The sequence below is a fragment of the Homo sapiens genome, chromosome 6 (assembly GCF_000001405.40).
Source record: "Homo sapiens chromosome 6, GRCh38.p14 Primary Assembly".
NCBI lineage: Eukaryota > Metazoa > Chordata > Mammalia > Primates > Hominidae > Homo > Homo sapiens.
This window is the reverse complement of record NC_000006.12, coordinates 7,735,694-7,756,519: the sequence shown is the minus strand read 5'-3', so window position 1 is coordinate 7,756,519 and position 20,826 is coordinate 7,735,694. Positions and strand designations below refer to the sequence as shown.

At 42.1% G+C, this 20,826-nt stretch overlaps 1 protein-coding gene across 1 annotated transcript in view; it reads right to left on the bottom strand.

Moving 5' to 3' along the window:
• BMP6 (bone morphogenetic protein 6) overlaps positions 1-20,826 on the bottom strand; it is a 155,630-nt gene that overhangs the window by 125,209 nt on the left and 9,595 nt on the right. The gene's annotated exons all lie outside the window — the stretch shown is intronic.

The following is a 20,826-nucleotide window of genomic DNA, read 5'->3' as shown; positions in this document are numbered from 1 at the left end:
TAACTCATAACTAAAAGAAAAATCAATCCATAAAAACAGACTCAGAAATAACAGAGGTGATAGAATGACTAAGGAAAGGACCTTACAATTGGTATTATAAATCATAAATATATGCTCAAGAATACAAAGAAAAGCATGAGCATGAGAAGGAAATACATGAAAGACACACAAAATAAGTAAATGAAACTTTTAGTCAAATGAAAAATGCATTAGATGGTATTAACAGCAGTTTAGATACTGAAAAAGAAAATATTAGTGAACTTGATGTCTTAGCAATAGAAACTTGCCCAAATGAGACAACACAGAGAGGAAACAAAACAAAACAAAACACTGAAGCGTGAGATATAAAGAAGTCCAGCCTATGGGTAATTTGAAACCCAGAAGGAGGTGACGAAAGAGGAAAGCCAAAAAGTGACTTGAAGAAGTAATGACCAAATTTTTCTGAATTTAAATAAAACTATAAACTCACAGATAGAAACTCAAAGAGCCTCAAGCAGAAGAAACCTAAATAAAACAACACCAAGGCACATGATAAAACCATTTCTGAAAACCAGTGATAAAGAGAAAATCTTAAAAATCAGCCATATAACAGAAGACAATTTATGTACAAAGGAACCAAGATGTCATCAGGCCATCCAGGGTAGAAGTCAGTAAAACACTGTCTATAAAGTGCTGCAAGGGAAATAAATACTGTCAATCTCAAATTATAGACCCAGTGAATATCTTTCCACAACACAGATAGAGAATTTTTTCAGATAAATAAAAGCTGAGGGGATTTATCACCAGTAGACAAGTATTACATGAAAAGTTAACAGAAGTTCTTCAAGCAGAAGGAACATGATTCTAGATTAAAAAAAAATGTTGATCTACAAAAAGGAATAAAGAGTGTGAGAAATGGTAAATAGGTGGGTATACGTAAGAGACTTTTTCTCATTTTTAATTTATTTAAAACGTGATTGACTGCTTGATGCAAACACTAACAGGGTATTATGGGCTTTGTAACATAAACAGAAATAAAATATATGAAAACAATAGTACAAAGAACAGAAGAAGGAAATTGAAGTATACTGTTGTAAAATTCTTACATTCTACGTGAAGTGGTAAAATATTTAAAAACAGACTGTGGTAAGTTAAGCACATATACTATAAACCTTAGAGCAACTACTAAAAATAAATAAAACATAAAGGTCTAAACCAGTAGTGGAAATAAAATAAAATCACAAAAAATACACAATCCAAAAGAAGGCAGAAAAAGGGGGGAAGGGAACAAAGAACAGATGGGACAAATAGAAAACAAATAGCAAGATGGTAGATTTACACCCAGACACATCAATAATCACATTAAATGTAAATATTCTAAACACACCAATTAAAAGGCAGAAATTGTTAGGTTGCTTCAAGAAATAAACAAGACCTAACTCTATGTTATTTATGAGAAACCCACTTTATATATAAAGACTAAAGACACAGATAAGTTAAAAGTTAAAAAGGTTAGAAAATTAGTCCGGGCGCGGTGGCTCACGCCTGTAATCCCAGCACTTTGGGAGGCCAAGGCAGGCAGATCACGAGGTCATGAGATGGAGATCATCCTGGAGAACACGGTGAAACCCGGTCTCTACTAAAAATACAAAAAAATTAGCCGGGCGTGGTGGCAAGTGCCTGTAATCCCAGCTACTCAGGGGGCTGAGGTAGGAGAATGGCTTGAACCTGGGGGGCGGAGCTTGCAGTGAGCCGAGATCGCACCACTGCACTCCAGCCTGGGCAATAGAGCGAGACTCTGTCTCAAACAAACAAACAACAACAACAAAAAAGGTTAGAACATTATGCCGTGTGCACACAAATGAAAAGAAAGCTAGAGTGGTCATATTAATTTCAGACAAAGATGACTACTGAACAAAGACTATTATCAAGGACAAAGAGAATAATCAAGTTCATCCAGAGACATAACAGTCCTAAATGTGGATTTCCCAGGAACAGGGCTTCAAAACACAGGAAGGGGAAAAATAAATGACAGAACTGAAAAAAGAAGTAGACAAATCCTTAATTATAGTTGGAGATTTCAACATCCAGTAATTGATAGAGCAAGTACAAAGAAAGCCAGTAAAGATTTGGGCTGGGCGTGGTGGCTCATGCCTCTAATCCCAGCGCTTTGGGAAGCCGAGGAGGGCAGATCGCTTGAGCTCAGGAGTTTGAGACCTAGGCAACATGGAGAGACCTGATCTTTCCAAAGACACAAAAATTAGGCATGGTGGCACGTGCCTGTAGTCCCAGCTACTCGGGAGGCTGAGATGGGAGGATCGCTTGAGCCCAGGAGGGAGAGGCTGCAGTGAGCTGTGATTGCACCACTGCACTGCAGCCTGGATGACACATGAAGACTCTGTTTCAAAAAGAAAGAAAGAAAAAAAGACAATAAAGAACAACACTATCAACTAACTTGACCTAACCGCCATTTATTGAACACTCTACCCAATAACAACAGAACACATATTCTTTTGAAGGGCACAGGAAGCATCCACCAAGATCAACCATATTATGGCCCTAAAATAAGACCAAAATTAAAAATGATTGATATCATACAGTGTTCTCTCATTACAACGGAATTAAACTAGAAATCAGTAAATCCCCAAATATTTCGAAATTAAACAGCATACTTCTAAATAATCCACAGGTCAAAGAAGAAATCACGAGGGGAATTTTAAAAATATTTTGAGCTGAATGCAAATAGAAAGCACAACATATCAAAAAAAATTGATGTTAGACGAAAACCTATATCCTTTAATGCTTATTTAGAAAAGGCTGTATAGCAGAGTGATGGAAGTACTTACAGTTCTAGCACTCAGAGTAATGTTATTTTGTAGATTTCTAGGCAAAGTCTCACTGCCATTGAAGTATGACTTCTCTCCTTTACCTTACCTCCCCAGAATAACTCAAGCTCTTTGTAATATGGGTGCTTCTGAAACAAAGATGGCCCTGCTGGGTTACCGCTGTGCAGAAGGAGGGCTGTGGGTTGGATCAGTGCTTCTCGAACCTTACTGTGCCTATGAATCACCTAGGGGTCTTGTAAATGCAGGTTTCTAATCTAAAGGTGCCTGGGATGCTGCATTTCTGACACGCTCCCTAGTGGGGCAGCTGCTGCTGGTCCACAGACCACATTTGGGTAGCAGGGATACATACATTTCATTTCAACCAGGAACAACAATTCCCACCAAATCTGTTTTTTCATTTCCTCTTGTGCACTCTCTCGTCTCTGGAGAAAGTGCTGAGCAAAGGTCAGTGGATGACTTGGGGCGAAGTCACTTTAGAAGAGACAGGGCTTACCAGTGACCATTTGATCAATTAAGTAGCAGGTGCTTGATTGAGGTCAGGGCTAGCTTTAATAAACATTACTTAAAATGTTCTGAAACCTTTCTTTAATGTCTAAAATTACTTTGGACTCCAACCAGTATTTTTTTTTTAACATCAGCATTGCTCTTACCATTATATAATGTAAAATCTTAAAATGAGGCTGGTTCTGGGCTTAATATTACCAGCTTCTGCAGCATGATAGGCTGACTCCTGGCTGACCCAGTTTCTTGATCCCTGGAGGCTAGGTGTAGGTGTTTATTATGCCCAGCAGATAATAAGCTGGCACTACCACAGCCCTACAGAAGAGCCAAGAGAAAAGGGGGAAAACACATGAGCAATGCTTCAGATAGCTATTCTGTGCTGATATCTAAATTATAATCCACGGATCTGAAAGGAGGGCTGTATTCAGAACCATAAAAATAGTCTACACTTTTAGGGCAAAGATTTTTGTTCACCTGTATCTTTCTCACCTCCAGATTGCCACCTCCCATCCCAGAAAGCTCAATGATGGAACACTAAAAGCACCTTCCTGAAGTTATGGCTTTCTGGCACACACAACAAATTATATAGCATTAAAATGACCTCCTTCTAAAAAGCAAAAAAAAAAAAAAAAAACCTATGTTGAACTCCATAATAACATGAGGTACGTATTTAGAACCACAGATAATTCCAGTTACAAATGCATTTCTACTAGGACTTTAAAAACTTTGATAAGATTAGTTGAATGGCATTAGATAGACTTTCTTAGTTCACTCATCAAGCCTATACAAAGGGAGAGCAAGTGCCCCTTATATGTCAGGGAACCCACCTGGAATTAAGAGTTTGAGTAATTCATTTTCAGGACCTAGATTACACAGGTCTAAAATGAGAGTCACCAAGCTACAGCTCATGAGCCAGCCACCTAGTTTTATAAATAACGTTTCAATGGAATACAGCCATGTCTGTTTGTTGAAGTATTGCTTCCACACTGCCATGACAGAGTTGAGTAGCTGAGACAAAGATCACACCTGCAAAGCTGAAAATATTTACCATTTCGCCCTTTAAGAAAAATGTTCCAACTCCTGCTCTAGAAGGATGACCAAGGACCAATAAGTTTTAAGGAGGTAGAAAATTATTCCACTGAGTAGAAAGCTATCAACTATCACAGTACAAAATTCAAATGAAGTGTGTTTGTGAAGTAGTGAGTTTCCTGTAGCTGGAAGCGTTTAAGCAGCTCTTAAAGGACCCCAGCTTAGAATTGTGCTGAAGGAGATGTATACACCATTCAAAGGTACACCATTAAATAACTTCTGAGATTCTGCATCATTTTATGTCATCAATTACTCAGAGGTCCAGATTAGACTTCTTGAAAAACAGTCTCACTTGACTAACAAAGAAAACATCTTACATTCTAACTAAGAAAATTAGGCTAAGGAGATCCCTGGGCATCTTCTGATTGCCAGTTCATCTGTAATTGGCCCAATGAAGTGACTCCACTGGACAGAAGCCATGTCTAATTCTGTGGCCATTATAGGTCTTAACATGCTACGGTTGTTCCATAGAGATTTGTAAATATAATTTAATGATGTTTCTGTGTAATCCAGATCGCCAGATCTTTCTGCAACCTTATAGAGAATGCCGAGGCAGAAAATATATGTGTCAACCCAATTATATACTCTGAAATATCTGCTGCACTGTTAGGTATTGTATCCTAGAAATTCAGGTGCATGGGCTAGTGGAAGAATAAAGTAAGGCTTAAAAAGATATCAAAGATTCATCCTTGTTATTCATTTCTTAACAAAATTGCTTTTATAATAAACTAAGCATTTGGGATGGGTATTTTTGGGAAGTTTCCAATTAAAGTGTTTGACATGTCTACTACATTTTAGTTAGGGAGCCCCATGAGATTGATCTGAGCTCCATTTCTTTGCCAGAGGAACACACTTTGCAATTCTCAAGCCAGTTCTTTCTTTGACCAATTTGGCAGAGCAACTGGCTGGGTTTGCAGGTAGTAGAGCGAGTACTCTTAGTAAAACGTTCATTTTTATAGTGTTGGCTTCCACCTAAATATCAGCGGGAGGCAATACCACTTGGTCAAGTCTGCCTTGAAGCTACATCAAAGGCACTGAGCTTAATATGGCCGGGAAGAGAGTAATCCAACAACATTTGAAACTTTGGGTTGTAGCCAAGGATAAGTAGGTTGAGAATTTTAGCTCTCACTCTAAATTAGAGTCACTTAAGCTGTATCCTGAGATGGATCCATCCAACATCACTGCTAATACAGTTCAGGACAAGAAGCAAGGTGGGCAGAATTACAGCTCAAACATCTCAGAATGGGGCAGAAGTGGACAAGAGTGAGGAAGTTATCTTATATTTAGTCATAAAGTGTTTGATGACCATGGAAACCTGACTTAAAAAGAAATAAAAAATAGCCAAGTTATTTAAAATCTTGCCATTTTAAATCTTTCAAATAAAGGTCATTTTGTTTTTAAGACTAGGGAATAAAAAGTCAAAGAGGACTTTTAACTTTTTTAAAAAAAATTTCAAGTTCCAGAACCAGCTGGAAAAATCTCAAGATACACCTAGTCATGGCTGCTATATTTATATAGGTCATTTAATTAAGCAGCAAAAAGACAGGTAACACACAAGCAAACCATCCAATAAAAATAAGTTATCGTTATTGCAAAAGTCACTGTGAGAATGTTAAGCTAAAACACTGCACTGCACAATTTCAGAAACTCCAAAGAATAAAAATATCTGCTCGGCTTTCAGTTTCAGATCTCCTCTGCTTCCTCATCCTGCCCTTATCGTTTCCTCATTGATACTCCCCCAAACATATCTCTATCATGGTACCTCTGCAGTTCGGAAGTTCCATGTATCTACACGTCAGCCTCTCCTTTGGAACAGCATGCTCTTAGACGAATGTGGCCTTAGTATTTCAGGATCCTTGGCACCTGGCAAATCAGCCAGCACACAGTAGGCACGCAGATGTTCAAGGGCACACAACATGTTAAATGTTTGAGCTAGCACGCTCAAATGTTGACGTTGAATGTTTCAATGTTGATGTAGATCTACAAATGGCATTGACAGTGAGTAAAAGCACCCTCAGGGTTCATGGCACCCACCCTTAAGCATCCTGTCTCACCCACTGTGCCCATTGCCAGAATCTGTGCCTCTGTTTCCACCCGTTCTATACTCTGAAGTGCACACCTCTGCCTCTTTAAATCCTACCAACCCTTTAAGGCAGTACTTCTCAAAATCTGGCCCATGAACCACTTGATTAAAAACCATCTGGGATGCTTCTTAAAATGCGGATTCCTTGGTCCCAGATCAGACATACTAAATTGAAATCTCTGGGAGTAAGCCCCTCCATTGATTCTGATGCTCATTATCCATGAACCATACTTTAAGAAAGTTAAATGTCAAGTCAAACCTGGTAGTGATGCCTTCACAATGAATCAACCAGGCAATGTCACGGTGTCCCGTCTGCACTCAGGGCTGTGCCTGACACATAACCACTTGGCAAAAGACTCCAGCCCCACACATATGGTGACATAATACAGGGTGTAGGCTCATCCTCAGAGGAGAGTCCCAAAGGCATGACCATAGAGATAGGTGTGGGACCTACTGGCTCCCATGACAACAGGCTATAGTTCCTTTGACCATTTATTATTGATTTTGAGCAGTAATTCGTTTTGCTCCTGCCTCGTTCTGAAAATAGATCTGAGACAACTTATAGAAATACCATTTTATGGAATAAACATTGAACATATGTGGAAATAGGAATGAAGGGAAAATGGGGCAAGAAAATAAGATACAGTTAATATAGGATACTAAATACCATATGATAAAGAGAGGTTGATCTGACTTTTGAAGTGACCAAAGAATATAGAAACATGTTCATTTATAAGAGTCTCAATATTCATAAGATAAAACAACAGTTGGTTAGAAAAATACTGAATTTTCCTGATACTGGCAATCCGAGCTAAGCACAGCTTCATACTCTGCAAATCATATTGGTGACGTGGAATCCTGATCTCCACCCCTCCCCGGTGGAGGTACAAGGGTTCATCAGTGATTGCCTTTTGTAGATGAAACACACTGTGGACAATGGAAATCTGCAGGAAAGCGCTAAGCTCTTGTCCTGAAGGGTAGAATACTAGTAGCATCAATGTGGAAGATCAAAATGGTGGTACTACAGGTCTTTCCTCTTTTACCAAGACACCTGATGCTGCTAAATAATACAGGATTTCTCGATTTTTTGCTTTGACAGATTCATCCTCTACTGATTCCAGGATTAGGACATCATCATAACATAGCAGGAAATTCACAATCCTAGAGATGGGGGTATGGTGAGATGCAAGAGCATTAGAGGACTATGGAAATTATGGGAGCATGACATTCTGAAATTGCACGACTAAGGAATTGGAAATATTTCTCAGGACATGATGATTATCTGGACACTGGCAATGAATCTTGATCATTCACCTCGGTAAGCTTAATAATGGGAAACATCTCCGCCCCAGTCAGAAGCTGACTGTAGGAACTGAGCTTATTCACGGGGTATTTGTGGTCCTCCAAACTGGCATAGCCCCCAAGGGTTCTACTTCATTTTCCCCTGCATTGACATAATGCTTCAGCCTCGTAGGTTTCTCTCATAAGCATGAGCTGCTCAAGTGCCAGAGGGTCCATCATATATAAGTGCTTTCTAGACCTCAGAAACCCAGTAAGCACTGCCTAAACTGTTCCAGTTTTCTTTTTGATGGTTTCCTGCTCTTAGCATAAGAGAATGATGTCTGAAATAGTATGACAGGTATGGAACAGGAAGATCTTTTTAATGGCCCCTTATTGCAAACAACTCTAATAAAAGCTTCTAACTACTGAGTACTTAAGAGGTACCAACCACTGGGCTAGGCTCTTTACATGTATTATCTCAATCCTCCCAACCACCCTGAGAACCCAATGCATTTATTATTTCCATTTCACAGTGCTAAACTGGAGCACAGAGAGGAAAACTCACCGAAAACCAAACACTCTCTAAGGGGTAAGGCCCATATTCAAACACAGTCTGACTCCAGCACCTGCCAATCAAATGCCAGCATCCCAGATCACTCCAATTTAAAAGGTTCCAAGGGAACAAAGCCCTGTATAAATAACACTGTATTCATTTCTTATTGCTGCCTTCAGAAACTGAGCAGCTCAGAACAACACAAATGTATTCTCTCACAGGCCTGCAGGTTAGAAGTCCATAGCCTGGCACAGTGGCTCACGCCTATAATCCCAGCACTTTGGGAGGCTGAGGCAGGAGGATCGCTTGAGGCCAGGAGTTCATGACCAGCCTGGGCAACATGGAGAAACCCCATCTCTACAAAAAAAAAAAAATTAGCTAGTCAAGGTAGTGCATGCCTGTACTCTCAGCTACTGGGGAGGCTGAGGCGAGAGGATCGCTTGAGCCCGGGATGTTGAGGCTACAGTGAGCCATTATTGTACCGCTGCACTCCAGTCTGGGCAACAGAGCAAGACCTTGTCTGAAAAAGAAAAAAATGTCCAACAGGGGTCTCCCTGTGCTGAAAACCAGGTGTCAGCAGGACTGTGCTCCTATCTGGAGGGAAGAGGGAGGATATGTTTCCTTGCTCATTCAGGTTGTTGGCAGAATCCAGCTCCTCACAAGTACAGAGCTGGGCTCCCCATTTCTTTGCTGGCTGTCAGCTCAGGGCCCTTCCCAGCTTCCAGAGGCCACTGCATTCCTCGGCCTGGGGACCCCTTCCTCCATCTTCAAAGGTGCTCATGTTTCGAGTCCCTCTTGCCTCTTCTTCCATCAAATCCCTCTGATTCTTCTGCCTTCCTCTTCTGTGTTTATAAGGGCCTATGTGATTAATAATCCAGGATAATCTCCCTATTTTAAGGCCAGCTGCTCAGCAACCATAATTCCCTTTTGCCATATAAGGTGGCATATTCACAGATGTAACACCAGGAGGCGAAGCCCACGGGGCTGGAATCCTGCCTACCGCAAACACTGACATCGAACATCTAAACTTCTCTAAATCATCTCCCATACGCAGGGCTGCCCTTGTTTTTGTGAACCGAGGTAATGAAGTTTTGCGGATTGTCCTCGGTAAATAAAACTTTCTTAAGAGCCAGGCCTTATGGGATTCGTTCAGAAGGTAGAAAGGAGGAGAGTGTGTCACCGGTTTGAACTGGCACTGACCAATCCCCACCCCCAGGAGATGACAGCTCTCTCTCACGCTACCTGGAACAGGTGTGAGTTGGCCAACAGAGTGGAGACAAACCAGGTGGAAAATGAAGCTGGATTTCAATCTGGTCATTTCAGGTGGCTGAGCACCTGTGAACAAGGCCCAGCTCACTGATGAAGTTTCCCGTGGGCCAACTAGCTTCAAAGACGCGAATACCGTCTGCACCGTGACGGCAGATGACACTCCTAATTCTAAGCAACCAGCTCACAAAGGTGTGTTTTTAATTGTAAGGAGGAATGAGGGAAAGAGTTCCAGGAGGATCGGGTTAAGTCTATTTAAATGTCTATTTAAATCGTAACCTTTCAGATTTTAGTTACTGGAATTAGTACTTTTTCCACAAGTTTTCATCTCTTGGGTGCAATTCACAAATTTGTCACCTAATTGCCCCTCTTGGTTAAACAGTCTAAATTTAATTGCAGGAAAGAAAAAATGTAAACTATTTTAAAATTTCAAAAAGACCCTCAAATGCTGTAAATACAGATTAAACGGGAGGGGGGATGTTACCTAGACAATTGCAAAAATGCCCCAGTTCGTCTCCCATTTCAGGCCTCTTCCACACTGCAGCCAGGAATATCTCCCAAAGCACACATCAGTCATTCCACAGTCTTACTAAAAAGTTGTAAATAGTTCCTCATTGCCTACAAAATAAAGTCCAAACTCCTTAGACTGGCTTCATTATCCCTCAGCATCTGGCGTCAGCCTACCTTTGCAATCTCTTCCCCTGCCGAGTACTGTGCCAGCACCAGTAGCCACTCACGCTCGGATTCAGGCACCTCGGACCTCTCAGGGCTCCCGCAGCACCATCGAATCAACACTGCCCCTGATGCATTCCTCCGGCGGGAATGCCTTTGCCTCTATACCTACCAAGGGAAATCCAAATTCTCTTTCCACGCTCAGCCTGAATGTCATGTACCCTGAACTTAACCATACCTTCCTTGGTGCTCCCTCAATATTCTCTCTCTCTCTTTTTTTCTTGAGACAGTTTTGCTCTTGCCACCTAGGCTGGAATGTAGTGACGCAATCTCGGCCCACTGCAACCTCCGCCTCCTGGGTTCAAGTGATTCTCCTGTCTCAGCCTCCCGAATAGCTGGGATTACAGGCAGGCACCACCACACCCGGCCTCTTTTTTTTTTCACCTCTATCATAGATACCATCATGCTCTGTTTGGGCCAGCTGTCTGTGCATCTCCTCCTTCCCTCAAGCCAGCTGCCACATCTTCCTGTCATTTGTATCCTCATCCTGCCCCCTCCCTACTGCAGCCAGTACTCACCACAGTGCCTTGAAAGGGACCAATAAACACTGGACAACCAAATTAACTCTGTCATGTCTAACACTGAAGACACTCCCTGAGTTTAAAAACCTTTTATTCAAGGCTGAGCATGGTGGCTCACGCCTGTAATCTCAGTGCCTTGGAAAGACAAGGTAGGAGGATCCCTTGAGGCCAGGAATTAAGGCACCAGCCTGGGCAACATAGTGAGACCCCATGTCTACAAAAAAAGAAATAGCTGAGTGTGGTGGTATACGCCTGTAGCCCCAGCTACTCAGGAGGCTAGGGTGGGAGGATCGCTTGAGCCCAGGAGTTTGAGGCCGCCTTGAGCCATGATTGCACCACTGCACTCCAGCCTGGGTGACAGAGTGAGACTCTTTGTTCAGGGTGTGTCAAGTAGTCCTTAGATGCCATTTTTTTAGAGACACACTGTCACTGCATCTCCCAGAACATAACACAATGCAGCAACAGGACCTATACACTTTTTCCTTCATAGGCTATTTGAAATCCTTTTATAAATAGATCTTTTGGGCATTCCACACACAGAAAATTATTAAAACAATGAACAGAGTTCCATTTCTGGCAATGGCCAATACGATCCTATTGGACTGACCCTCCCACAGATTAGAAACATAAACTCTGGCAAAAATGATTTTTAAAAAATAACACCCAGCTACCTGAAGGCACTGGAGATTGACCAAAACTAGGCACATTCTGGGCACTGATACTGGAGGCGGGAAACAGCACTGTATGTATTTCCCAATTTCATGACTTCTGGCTTAAAGGGAGGGCCTGGTCTGCACCAGGCTGGCCAGCAGGAATGCCAACAGGAAACCAACAGCCTTTCTGCCCGGAGAATCAGAGAACAGATCTGGGGCATCCCAGAAAGGAAGGGAACCTCAGAAAGGAAAGATGAAGAGAGTTATGGTCCTAAATTCTGGGTGACTCCTGGACCACCCATGCTCAGGGCAGATAACAAGCAGCCTGAGGGAACTTTCTAGTAATGTTCTGTATCTTGACAGAGGTTTGGGTTACAGTGGTGTATACACACACCAAAACTCATCAAATGGTATGCTTAAGAAATGTGCATTTCATTGTATAGAAATTTTACCTCAAAAATCTATAAACATTGAACTTTAATGGCAGGCAAGCAGAATTATTTAGAAAGCAGTGTACTGATGTCTGCAACTTTTTGTTTTGAGATGGAGTCTCACTCTGTTGCCCAGAGTGAAGTGCAGTGGTGCGATCTCAGCTCACTGCAACCTCGGCCTCCTGGGTTCAAGTGATTCTCCTGCCTCAACCTCCCGAGTAGCTGGGACTACAGGCACCCGCCACCACACCAGGCTAATTTTTGTATTTTTGGTAGAGACAAGGCTTCATGTTTGAGACCAAAGTCCTGACCTCAGGTGATCCGCCCCCCTCGGCCTCCCCAAGTGCTGGGATTACAAGCGTGAGCAACCGTGTCCGGTGATGTCTGCAACTTTACTTTGAAATGTATCAAAAAAGAAAAAAGATGGACAGCTGAATGGGAAAATGGATGGATAAACAGAATAGATACCTGATAAAGCAGATACAGTAAATGTTAATCATAGAATCTAAGTGGAGGGTATACAGATATTTGCTGTAAAACCTTCCCCTTTTTCCATATGTTGAAATTTTGTTCACAATAAAATGCTGATAAAAGTTAAAAGATGCATCACAACTTGGAATTTGCTTCCTCAAAAAGGTGTGGAAGTAAATCACAATATTTGTAGAAATCAACATGAAGGAAGACAGGAATTCATTGTGGAATTGTAAACAGAAAGCACTTAGGTAAGAGTTTAGTAAAACATGTTTGCTGCCCAGTAGGAAAAAGCAGCATGTACTATAGTTGAACCTTAGAGAATCATGGAAATAAATTCCTCATCTCAGTGAAATGTTCTGGTGACATATTTTATTTGTGTAGTGTTAACAGGGCTACCCCGGTCATCTCTGGGGTTAGTGATGCTAGGTGGCACCTCAGGAGAAGTTTTGATTCTGAGTTCAGCTTCCTATGAGCCAGGTCTCAAGCACCAAGGGGCCACGAAAACATCACGTTCAATGAGAGAGGGAGGGAGAGCATGCATGCATGAGAATAAACAAGCATTTATCCTGCCCTGAAAACAAAGTCCTCTAGGTGAACAAGAAATCAGAGATGCCCAATCCATTGGCTTCAGAAAAGAGCATCTCATGTCATCCAACACTGAGAGGAGAATAGCAGTGCCCCAGTTAGATTGCATCCTACAGGCACAAGATAAATGATTCTAACAGAAGCCGGCCAAATGGAAAAAAAGGGCACAGATATTTCGATTGTCAAGACACATTAACCTTGTCAACCCTGAATAATGCAACATTATATACTATTGTTCGTTCCTAAATACAGCCCCCCAAAATAAAAAGCAAAACAGCAATAAACTACTTATTTGGGAGGGGGGTAGAGGGAGTATACACTATAGAATACACCTTCCTCTATATCTACATATATTTTGGAAGTGTAAAATACAGAAGATTACCACTTGATAGGACAGATGCATCTGAAATTATTTTCATTTTTCCCTTGGCTACATCCTTGAAGTTCATGGAATAAAATGTGAAAGATATTTGCTACTTCTGTGGTCTATGTCAAGCCATCTCTCTCTCTCCCTTTGCTCCATCCTAAGACTACACTATATCCTGGAAATGAAAGTGTTTATATCTCACATACTCTGGTAGGGAGTGCAAAATTTAAGTGGGATAAGAAGGGGGGGAAAGATCTCTGTTCCAGGACCTACCTGTCTCATTATACATAATTTAAGTACTGAAGGGTTGTTTAATTTTAAACAACTTTTATAGCAGTCTATAAAAAGAGAAACATCACATCTTGTATGCGCCTACTCTGATTTGACATTTTTTCCAACCTATTTGGACACACTTGTGCCCACTTAAGCAGGCTCTCCGGATTGGCCACTCAGGGTTTAATTCTGCCTGATTCATTTCACCAATGGTCTGGAAATACAGTGAAGCAATAATGCACATCTGTTTCGGGCAACGAACCAAGAGACCACCCGCCCCCTGGGTAAAGGTATCTCAATCCTGCCCATGGCTTTGATCAGTTTTCAGTTTTTAAATGCTCCCTGTTGCCTAGCGGGGAGCTAAGTGACTTTGCTTCAATAGACATTATGTCACCCCTCAGTCCTTATGTAAACAGAATGTCTAACACCTTCACAATGTATGCCAAGCCTACCAGCCTGAAGTGGAAGCTGACAAGATAAGTATTCTGCAACGGCACCTGCGTGAAGAGTCGTGCCTCCTTGCATGCATGAAAGCTCGAAGCTTTCTGCCTGGCACAACCAGGAAATTTAAATTGAGACTCAGCGGCATGTCTTTCTGACTTGTATTCATACTTATTAAAGTCATAATGACATCAGATAGAAGGAAAATAATATTTCTTCTTCCCAAAGCCTTTAAAAAAATTTAGAAAGTCACAGAACATAAACCCTGCAAGAAGGTAACTTCTCTTTTCCCTTTTTATAACCACTGCCACATACAGAACTTAATAAGCATTTCTTATAATAGCACACATGCTTCACAGTTTGTAATTCTCTCGTTCAAATGCTTGATGTTATTTGTAATGAGAGAATGGAAGGAGACGGCATACACCAGTTTTATTTTTGAGAAACTGACATTTATTCAATGTGCACTTATTGGGTATCGATGAAGGAAAGGCACCATGCTAGGCACTTGGGGGGAGGAGGGATGTGTCAAAGATGAATAAAACATTTTAATAGGATAGGAATCAGAGAAGTCAGTGTTGAAGGTGATTCACCAAATCCCACAGCTGAGGGGTAGCAGAGCCAACGCTGGAACTTCAGACCTCCAACTCCTTCGTTGAAGCCTCATGCAGCTCAGCTGCAAACAGGCATCAGAAATTAGAATGCTGCTCTAGGCTGGGTCTGGTGGCTCATGCCTGTAAGCCCAGCACTTTTGGAGGCCAAAGCAGGAGGATCGCTTGAGCCCAGGAGTTTGAGACTAGTCTGGGCAACATAATGAGACCCCATCTCTACAAAAAATTAAAACAACTAGCCAGGCATGGTGGTACACGCCTAGTAGTCCAGCTACTCAAGAGGCTGAGGTGGGAGGATCACTTGAGCCCAGGAGTTTGAGACTAGTCTGGGCAACATAATGAGACCCCATCTCTACAAAAAATTAAAACAACTAGCCAGGCATGGTGGTACACGCCTAGTAGTCCAGCTACTCAAGAGGCTGAGGTGGGAGGATCACTTGAGCCCAGGAGTTCAAGGTTGCAGTGACCTATAATCGCACCACTGCATTCCAGCCTGGGTGACAGAGAGGCCCTGTCTCTACAAAAATAATAATAATAATAATGATAATAAAGAATGCTGCTCCATGCCTCTCTGCATAGGACAAGTCCCCTGTCATTTGGCCCCAAATGTTCTTCTAAAGAGCCATGGCACATGGGTAAGCAAATTTCAGAAAGCCTTTCTTAACGAGATGGCATTTGAACTGGGGTTTAAAAAACAGAATTGAGAATGTGGCAGTGGGCAGTTTCACCAGGTAAATAGGCAAAATCACAGAGCAGAGTGTGCTGGCTGGATAACAGCATATGGAAAGATGAGTAGAAGAGATGGACAGGGTGGACCTCAGAGACATCAGCTTAATCTAGTGGCCACAGGAGCCAATGAAGGTGATGGAGGAGGACTAACAGATCACACCTGCACCACAGAAAAGCCAGCCTGTCAGGGATGCAGGGAGGGATTCACAGCAGAGAGACCAGTGCAAAAGTCAAGGCCAACGATTATAAAGACCTTCTGCAGGGAACTTAGGGATAGATGGAAAAGATGATGGGAAGATGGGAGTAAGAGATTTCAAAAGCAGGATCACTAAGCCTGGCAACTGACTTGATGTGGGCGAGAGGGCAAAGATTGAAGTTAAGCCTGAGTAACTAGCACTGTGGTTCCCAAACCTCAGTCACCGCTTGTCGAAGTGCAGATTCCCACACCCAAATCCCCCGAGTCAGGGTGGGGTCCAAGAAGCTGCTTGTTAATAGATCTGTGCTGATCCACAAACTTTGTTACCAGCTTGCAATGAGAGTACAGAAATGGAGTGTTTAGATGGTTTAACAGCAAGCTGACTGACAACTTTCTACAAATGGAATCTAATGATTAAAAGTTGAGGCTTGATTTTGAACATATTTTGGGTTTTTTTCCATGTCATTTTTCTACGAATGCACTTGTAATGAATTTTCGTGGACCCAAAAGTATGGGTCCACAAAAACTAAAAAATTTGAAAAACAAGTGGTTGTTGCACAAAGTTTGAGAAAAGCTGTGCTGCATGAGTCTGGGATGGGACCACACTTGGCGCATGCTCTGAACAGATGGGTCATAAGAGAGAAGGCAAACACGTGAGGAGGCACTCACAGCTGGGGGACATCTCTGCAGATGCATCTGACTTTCTGAACCCAACAGCTACCACCAGGCCACCGAGCCTTGGTGGCAGGTCACCTGGGAGCCTGGTACCTGCCCATCATCCTGACCTATGGCCACATGTTCTCTCTTTACTCCTGCAACTGGGTGTGACCTCCTCCCTATGCCCAGCTCCCTGCCTGTGTCCTGTCTCAGCCCAGTGTGCAGGTCTCATGCCACAGGCCAACCCTTCTGAATCTTTTGTTGTATTTCAGAAAATATCCCCAAATACAGCAGCAGTCTTCAAGACAGGAAAGGAACCAAGAGTGAGCAGGCAGTGTTGTAGAAACTAAGGAGAGGATTTTTTAGAAGCGCTAAAAAATAGCCCAGTAGGGAAAAAAGCATCGTCAACATGATCAAGGCTTTTGGAAAGGAGGATGAAGACTCAGGACAGTCATTAGCTGCCTTCAACGAAACACTTTCAGCAGATGGATGGGGATGGAAGTCAGACCACAAGGGCAGAGAAGACAGTGGGAAGGAAAGAGTAACCTCCCCAAATGGTGGGCAGGTAGGGGACAGTTATTTCACAAAACTGTTCTATTACATGACTGGGTGCTATTTGGAACATTCAGTTAACATTGCTCTAAATATTAGTTTTCTCCAAAAACCTCCAAATTCTCCCCTATCTTACTATCTACTAGTTCTTACTGTAAAAGTAAGAACTTTTATGTATCTGCAGCTGTAAAAGTGTAAGTATTTGCCTTGCTGAGATAATAGGATAATAAGTGACATCAGCCATTCTTTAAGGCAAAAGGCCATAAAGAAATACAGTACTTGTATTTTTGTGCAGAAAAAAATGCAGTTTCTATTTAAGCTTCCAGAATATTTGGAGAAGGATGAGCATAGGGAAAATGTCAGGGGTAAATTGGAGTCTACTTTCCTAGAGTTCTTGGATTTGTGCCCTACCCAAATTGCCCAAATTTAAAACAGAAACACAGGGAAGCATCTTTGTGCTGTGTTCCGGCAGGATCAAATCTTCTAAATTACAGTCTTTAGAAACAAAATGCTGACAGGGTCACCACAACGCAAAACTACCCCCAGACACTTGCTTCCAAAATTAGAAAAGAAGTCTGCCTATTTTTATTATTATTTCCCAAAATCAATGTGGAAAGTGAGACATAGGGTAAAGGTCAATCACAGTTGCCAAGAGCAGGCTTGACCCTATGAAGATTTGACCCCATGGTTCTCTGATCCAAGAAAACAAGCCATGAGGATCTTCAGCAAATTCCATTCTTAAGGATGTACAAAGCCCGTAAGAGAAAAGCAAGAAGAGCCAAGGTGTCGATGAAAGATGGGACTTTGCACAGCACTTCCTGTGTGTTGGGAGTGATGATTTCATTCCCTAGCACAGGAGATGCTTTAAAGTGTAGCTCAGAATGTGTTCACCATCTTCCCTGCCATGATGGTTGCAGCCATGCCTACCTATGTCTAAGTTTATCGAACTGTACACTTTAAGCTGTTCCTTATACGTCAATGTGTCAAATTAAGCTGCATTACCAAAAAATTTAAAAAGAATCGTCTTGGGAATTATCTAGCCTGGGGTTTCTCAACTGTGTTCCAGGGAATTAAGAGCCTTTAGCAATGAGGGTCCAACCTGGAACAGAGAACCTTCTGCAAGAGTTTACAACAGAGGGGATTTAATGCAGGGATCTGGTGGCACAGAAGCGGGAGGGCTACACGGCCAAGCAGGTCGTGGTGAGGCAGCCCATGGATTGGCAACTGCAGGAAGCCACGTTCCCTCTTATGAAGGAGGGAGGAGAGCCAAGGGGTCCCTAGCATAAGATGGGGACCAGAGAGAGCTGGAGCCACAGAAGAGCAGAGCAGCTGGAAACGCAGCCTCCTAGGGTCCCTCCCCTGATCTATGAGGACAACAGGAGAAGGTTCAGGAGTGGGTGTGGGGGCAGAGAGGCCTGGGTCTGACACAAGGGGGTTTCAGCCAAAAGGGGTTAGAGAGTAAAAGTCAGTTCAAACTCTGCTGAACCAAGTTAGCAGGCTTCTTTACTTCTGGCCTTGTCAGGGCATTAACAGGAGAAAGATTTGTAAACCTCAAAGAGAGGAATAGAATAGAAAGTGCTTCTACGGCCTTTTCTTGCAGAACATTTTGGAAAAGTAGTAACTTTTTGAAAAATGCTGATCTAGCCAATACAGTTTCCAGACAAGGAAGGAGACCTAGAAATTTGGTTAAGTGGCTTGAACAAGATATTACAAAAAAGAAGAAAAAAAAAAGAAGAAAATATTACAAAAAAGAATAATACTAAGAACTAGAGCCCAAATTCAAGCCTCCTGGATATTAATCCAGTTCTCTTTCCTCTATAATAAACCGATCATAAGCATCTTCCAGCACTGTCAAGAAAACCAGCTACTTAACCATTGCAGTGGGTGAAAATGAGTCATTTCTGTGGTAGAAAACTCCCAGACTCCATGGACGTGTATAATCTGCTCTGCTAGATCCATAGCAAAGGCTCCAAAACTATAGGTAAGAGCACATACGAAAGTGGAAATAAGTGCAATGGAGTTGCCAATTTTATTAATGGGAGGAAAAGAAGAGAAAAAAAAAAAGGGAAAGCAAGACAGAAAGGGACTCTAACATCCACTGGATACCTCCTTCACCCCTGCAGCTACGTGGGATCATCCTACGATGACAGGTATGTGCATGCATAACAACAGGGTCAAACAATCTCAACAAATCAAGAGTTGGTGTTAGAAGGCTCTGCCCTAAACAGACCCCATAAAAATGCAAAGGCCTGCTCCATGCATGGCCTTTCTCCATGGGGGGAAAGGCAACTCTCCAGATATCTTTGGCTCCAGGCACCTATGGCTTTCTTACTCTTCCCTTCATACACCTTAGTCCTGCCCATGGATATCACTTCTCTTTTTGCTCCATTAAACACCTATCCTCCCACAGAGAAGTATTAAACCACAGGACATCCTAAGTCAGATGTTATGAGACAAGGCTGAATTTCTCAAGCCCAGTGACAGTGCCATGGCCCCAAGCTCTTTTTTTTTTTTGAGATGGAGTCTCGCTTTGTCACTCCGGCTGGAGTGCAGTGGTGCAGTCCTGGCTCACTGAAATCTCTGCCTCCCGGGTTCAAGCGATTCTCCTGCTTCAGCCTCCCAAGTAGCTGGGATTACAGGTGTGCTCCCACGCCTGGCTAGTTTTTGTATTTTTAGTAGAGACAGGGTTTTGCCATGTTGGCCAGGCCGGTCTTGAACTCCTGACCTCAAGTGATCCACCGTCCTCGGCCTCCCAAAGTGCTGGGATTACAGGTGTGAGCCACTGCGCCCGGCCCTCTTCCCCATTTTTAAGAGGTTTCCTCTGTAAGGGAGCAGAATAGGGTGGGAGATAACGGGCGGGCAAATTAGCTGGAATTCAGTAATACCCCACTACAATGAGTAACTGACGTGAAGAGAGATGGAGAGAATTCACTAAATGTCTCACCTGCACAATATTTGTAAAGGAATAAACACAAACCCCTAATATCCCTCAAACGAACTGCTCTTCAGTTACCACATTTCTGTCTCCATTATTGTATTCTCATATTTATTTACCATTAACCTGTGTAGCTTTGTCATAGAAAACAGTCCAAAGGCAAATAAGCCTATTCGATATATCACTTACAAAGACCTCTGAATTGATGGAGTCTCTGTTAATTTAGTTTTACTCTGATCTAAATAGTCTCTCCTGAGGAAGCCTTTTAAAGTCCTCTGATCCTGCCCTTAGGGCCAGTACGATATTTTGTCAGTTTCTCAATTCTAAAGTCACATTAAGTTTTAATGTAAGTTTTCAGAAAGGAAAAATATTTAACCTCTCCCCTAATAACCCCCCCAAATTTTAATAATTCACAAGCACAAAATTCCTATAATTCTTGTTCATTCTTCAGGCTTCTTTATTTTACTCCCCCAAATCCTGCCTAGCATGGATCAAACAGGGCACAAGCCAGGGAGAAATTTAATCACTCATATCTCTGCCTGAGGGATTGTCTAGGTACTATGGTGACAGACACCTCAGTCAAACTATGCGGAGGAAAAAAGATTTTTAAACTCCTAGACTTAAAAACAAAGAAAGAAAAAAGAAAGATTTCTGATGGATTTGTTGTCAACACATAGAAGCACTATAAAATAAATCCCACATTGTCATAGACTATCAAAATTACTTCCTTAGGGACCACTTTAGTAAAACCCCAGAAACAAAATATTCTTCAACTGAGGTATTTTATAATTCTTTCCCCGAACTCTGCGTATTTTGAATTTTTATACTTTCATTGACTTGTTTTTCCTTGTTTAATGTACAGCTTCTCCACAGAGGATTTGTAGGGCAGAGTAGTTTCACAACTCCTCGGCATGATACTATAGCGGTGGATAACATCATTACACATTTGTCCAAATCCACAGAATCTGCAACACTACGAGTGAACCGGGATGTAACTACAGACTTTAGGTGACAATGATGTGTCCATATAAGTTCATCAATTGCAACAAAGATACCAAATTCTGCTGGGTG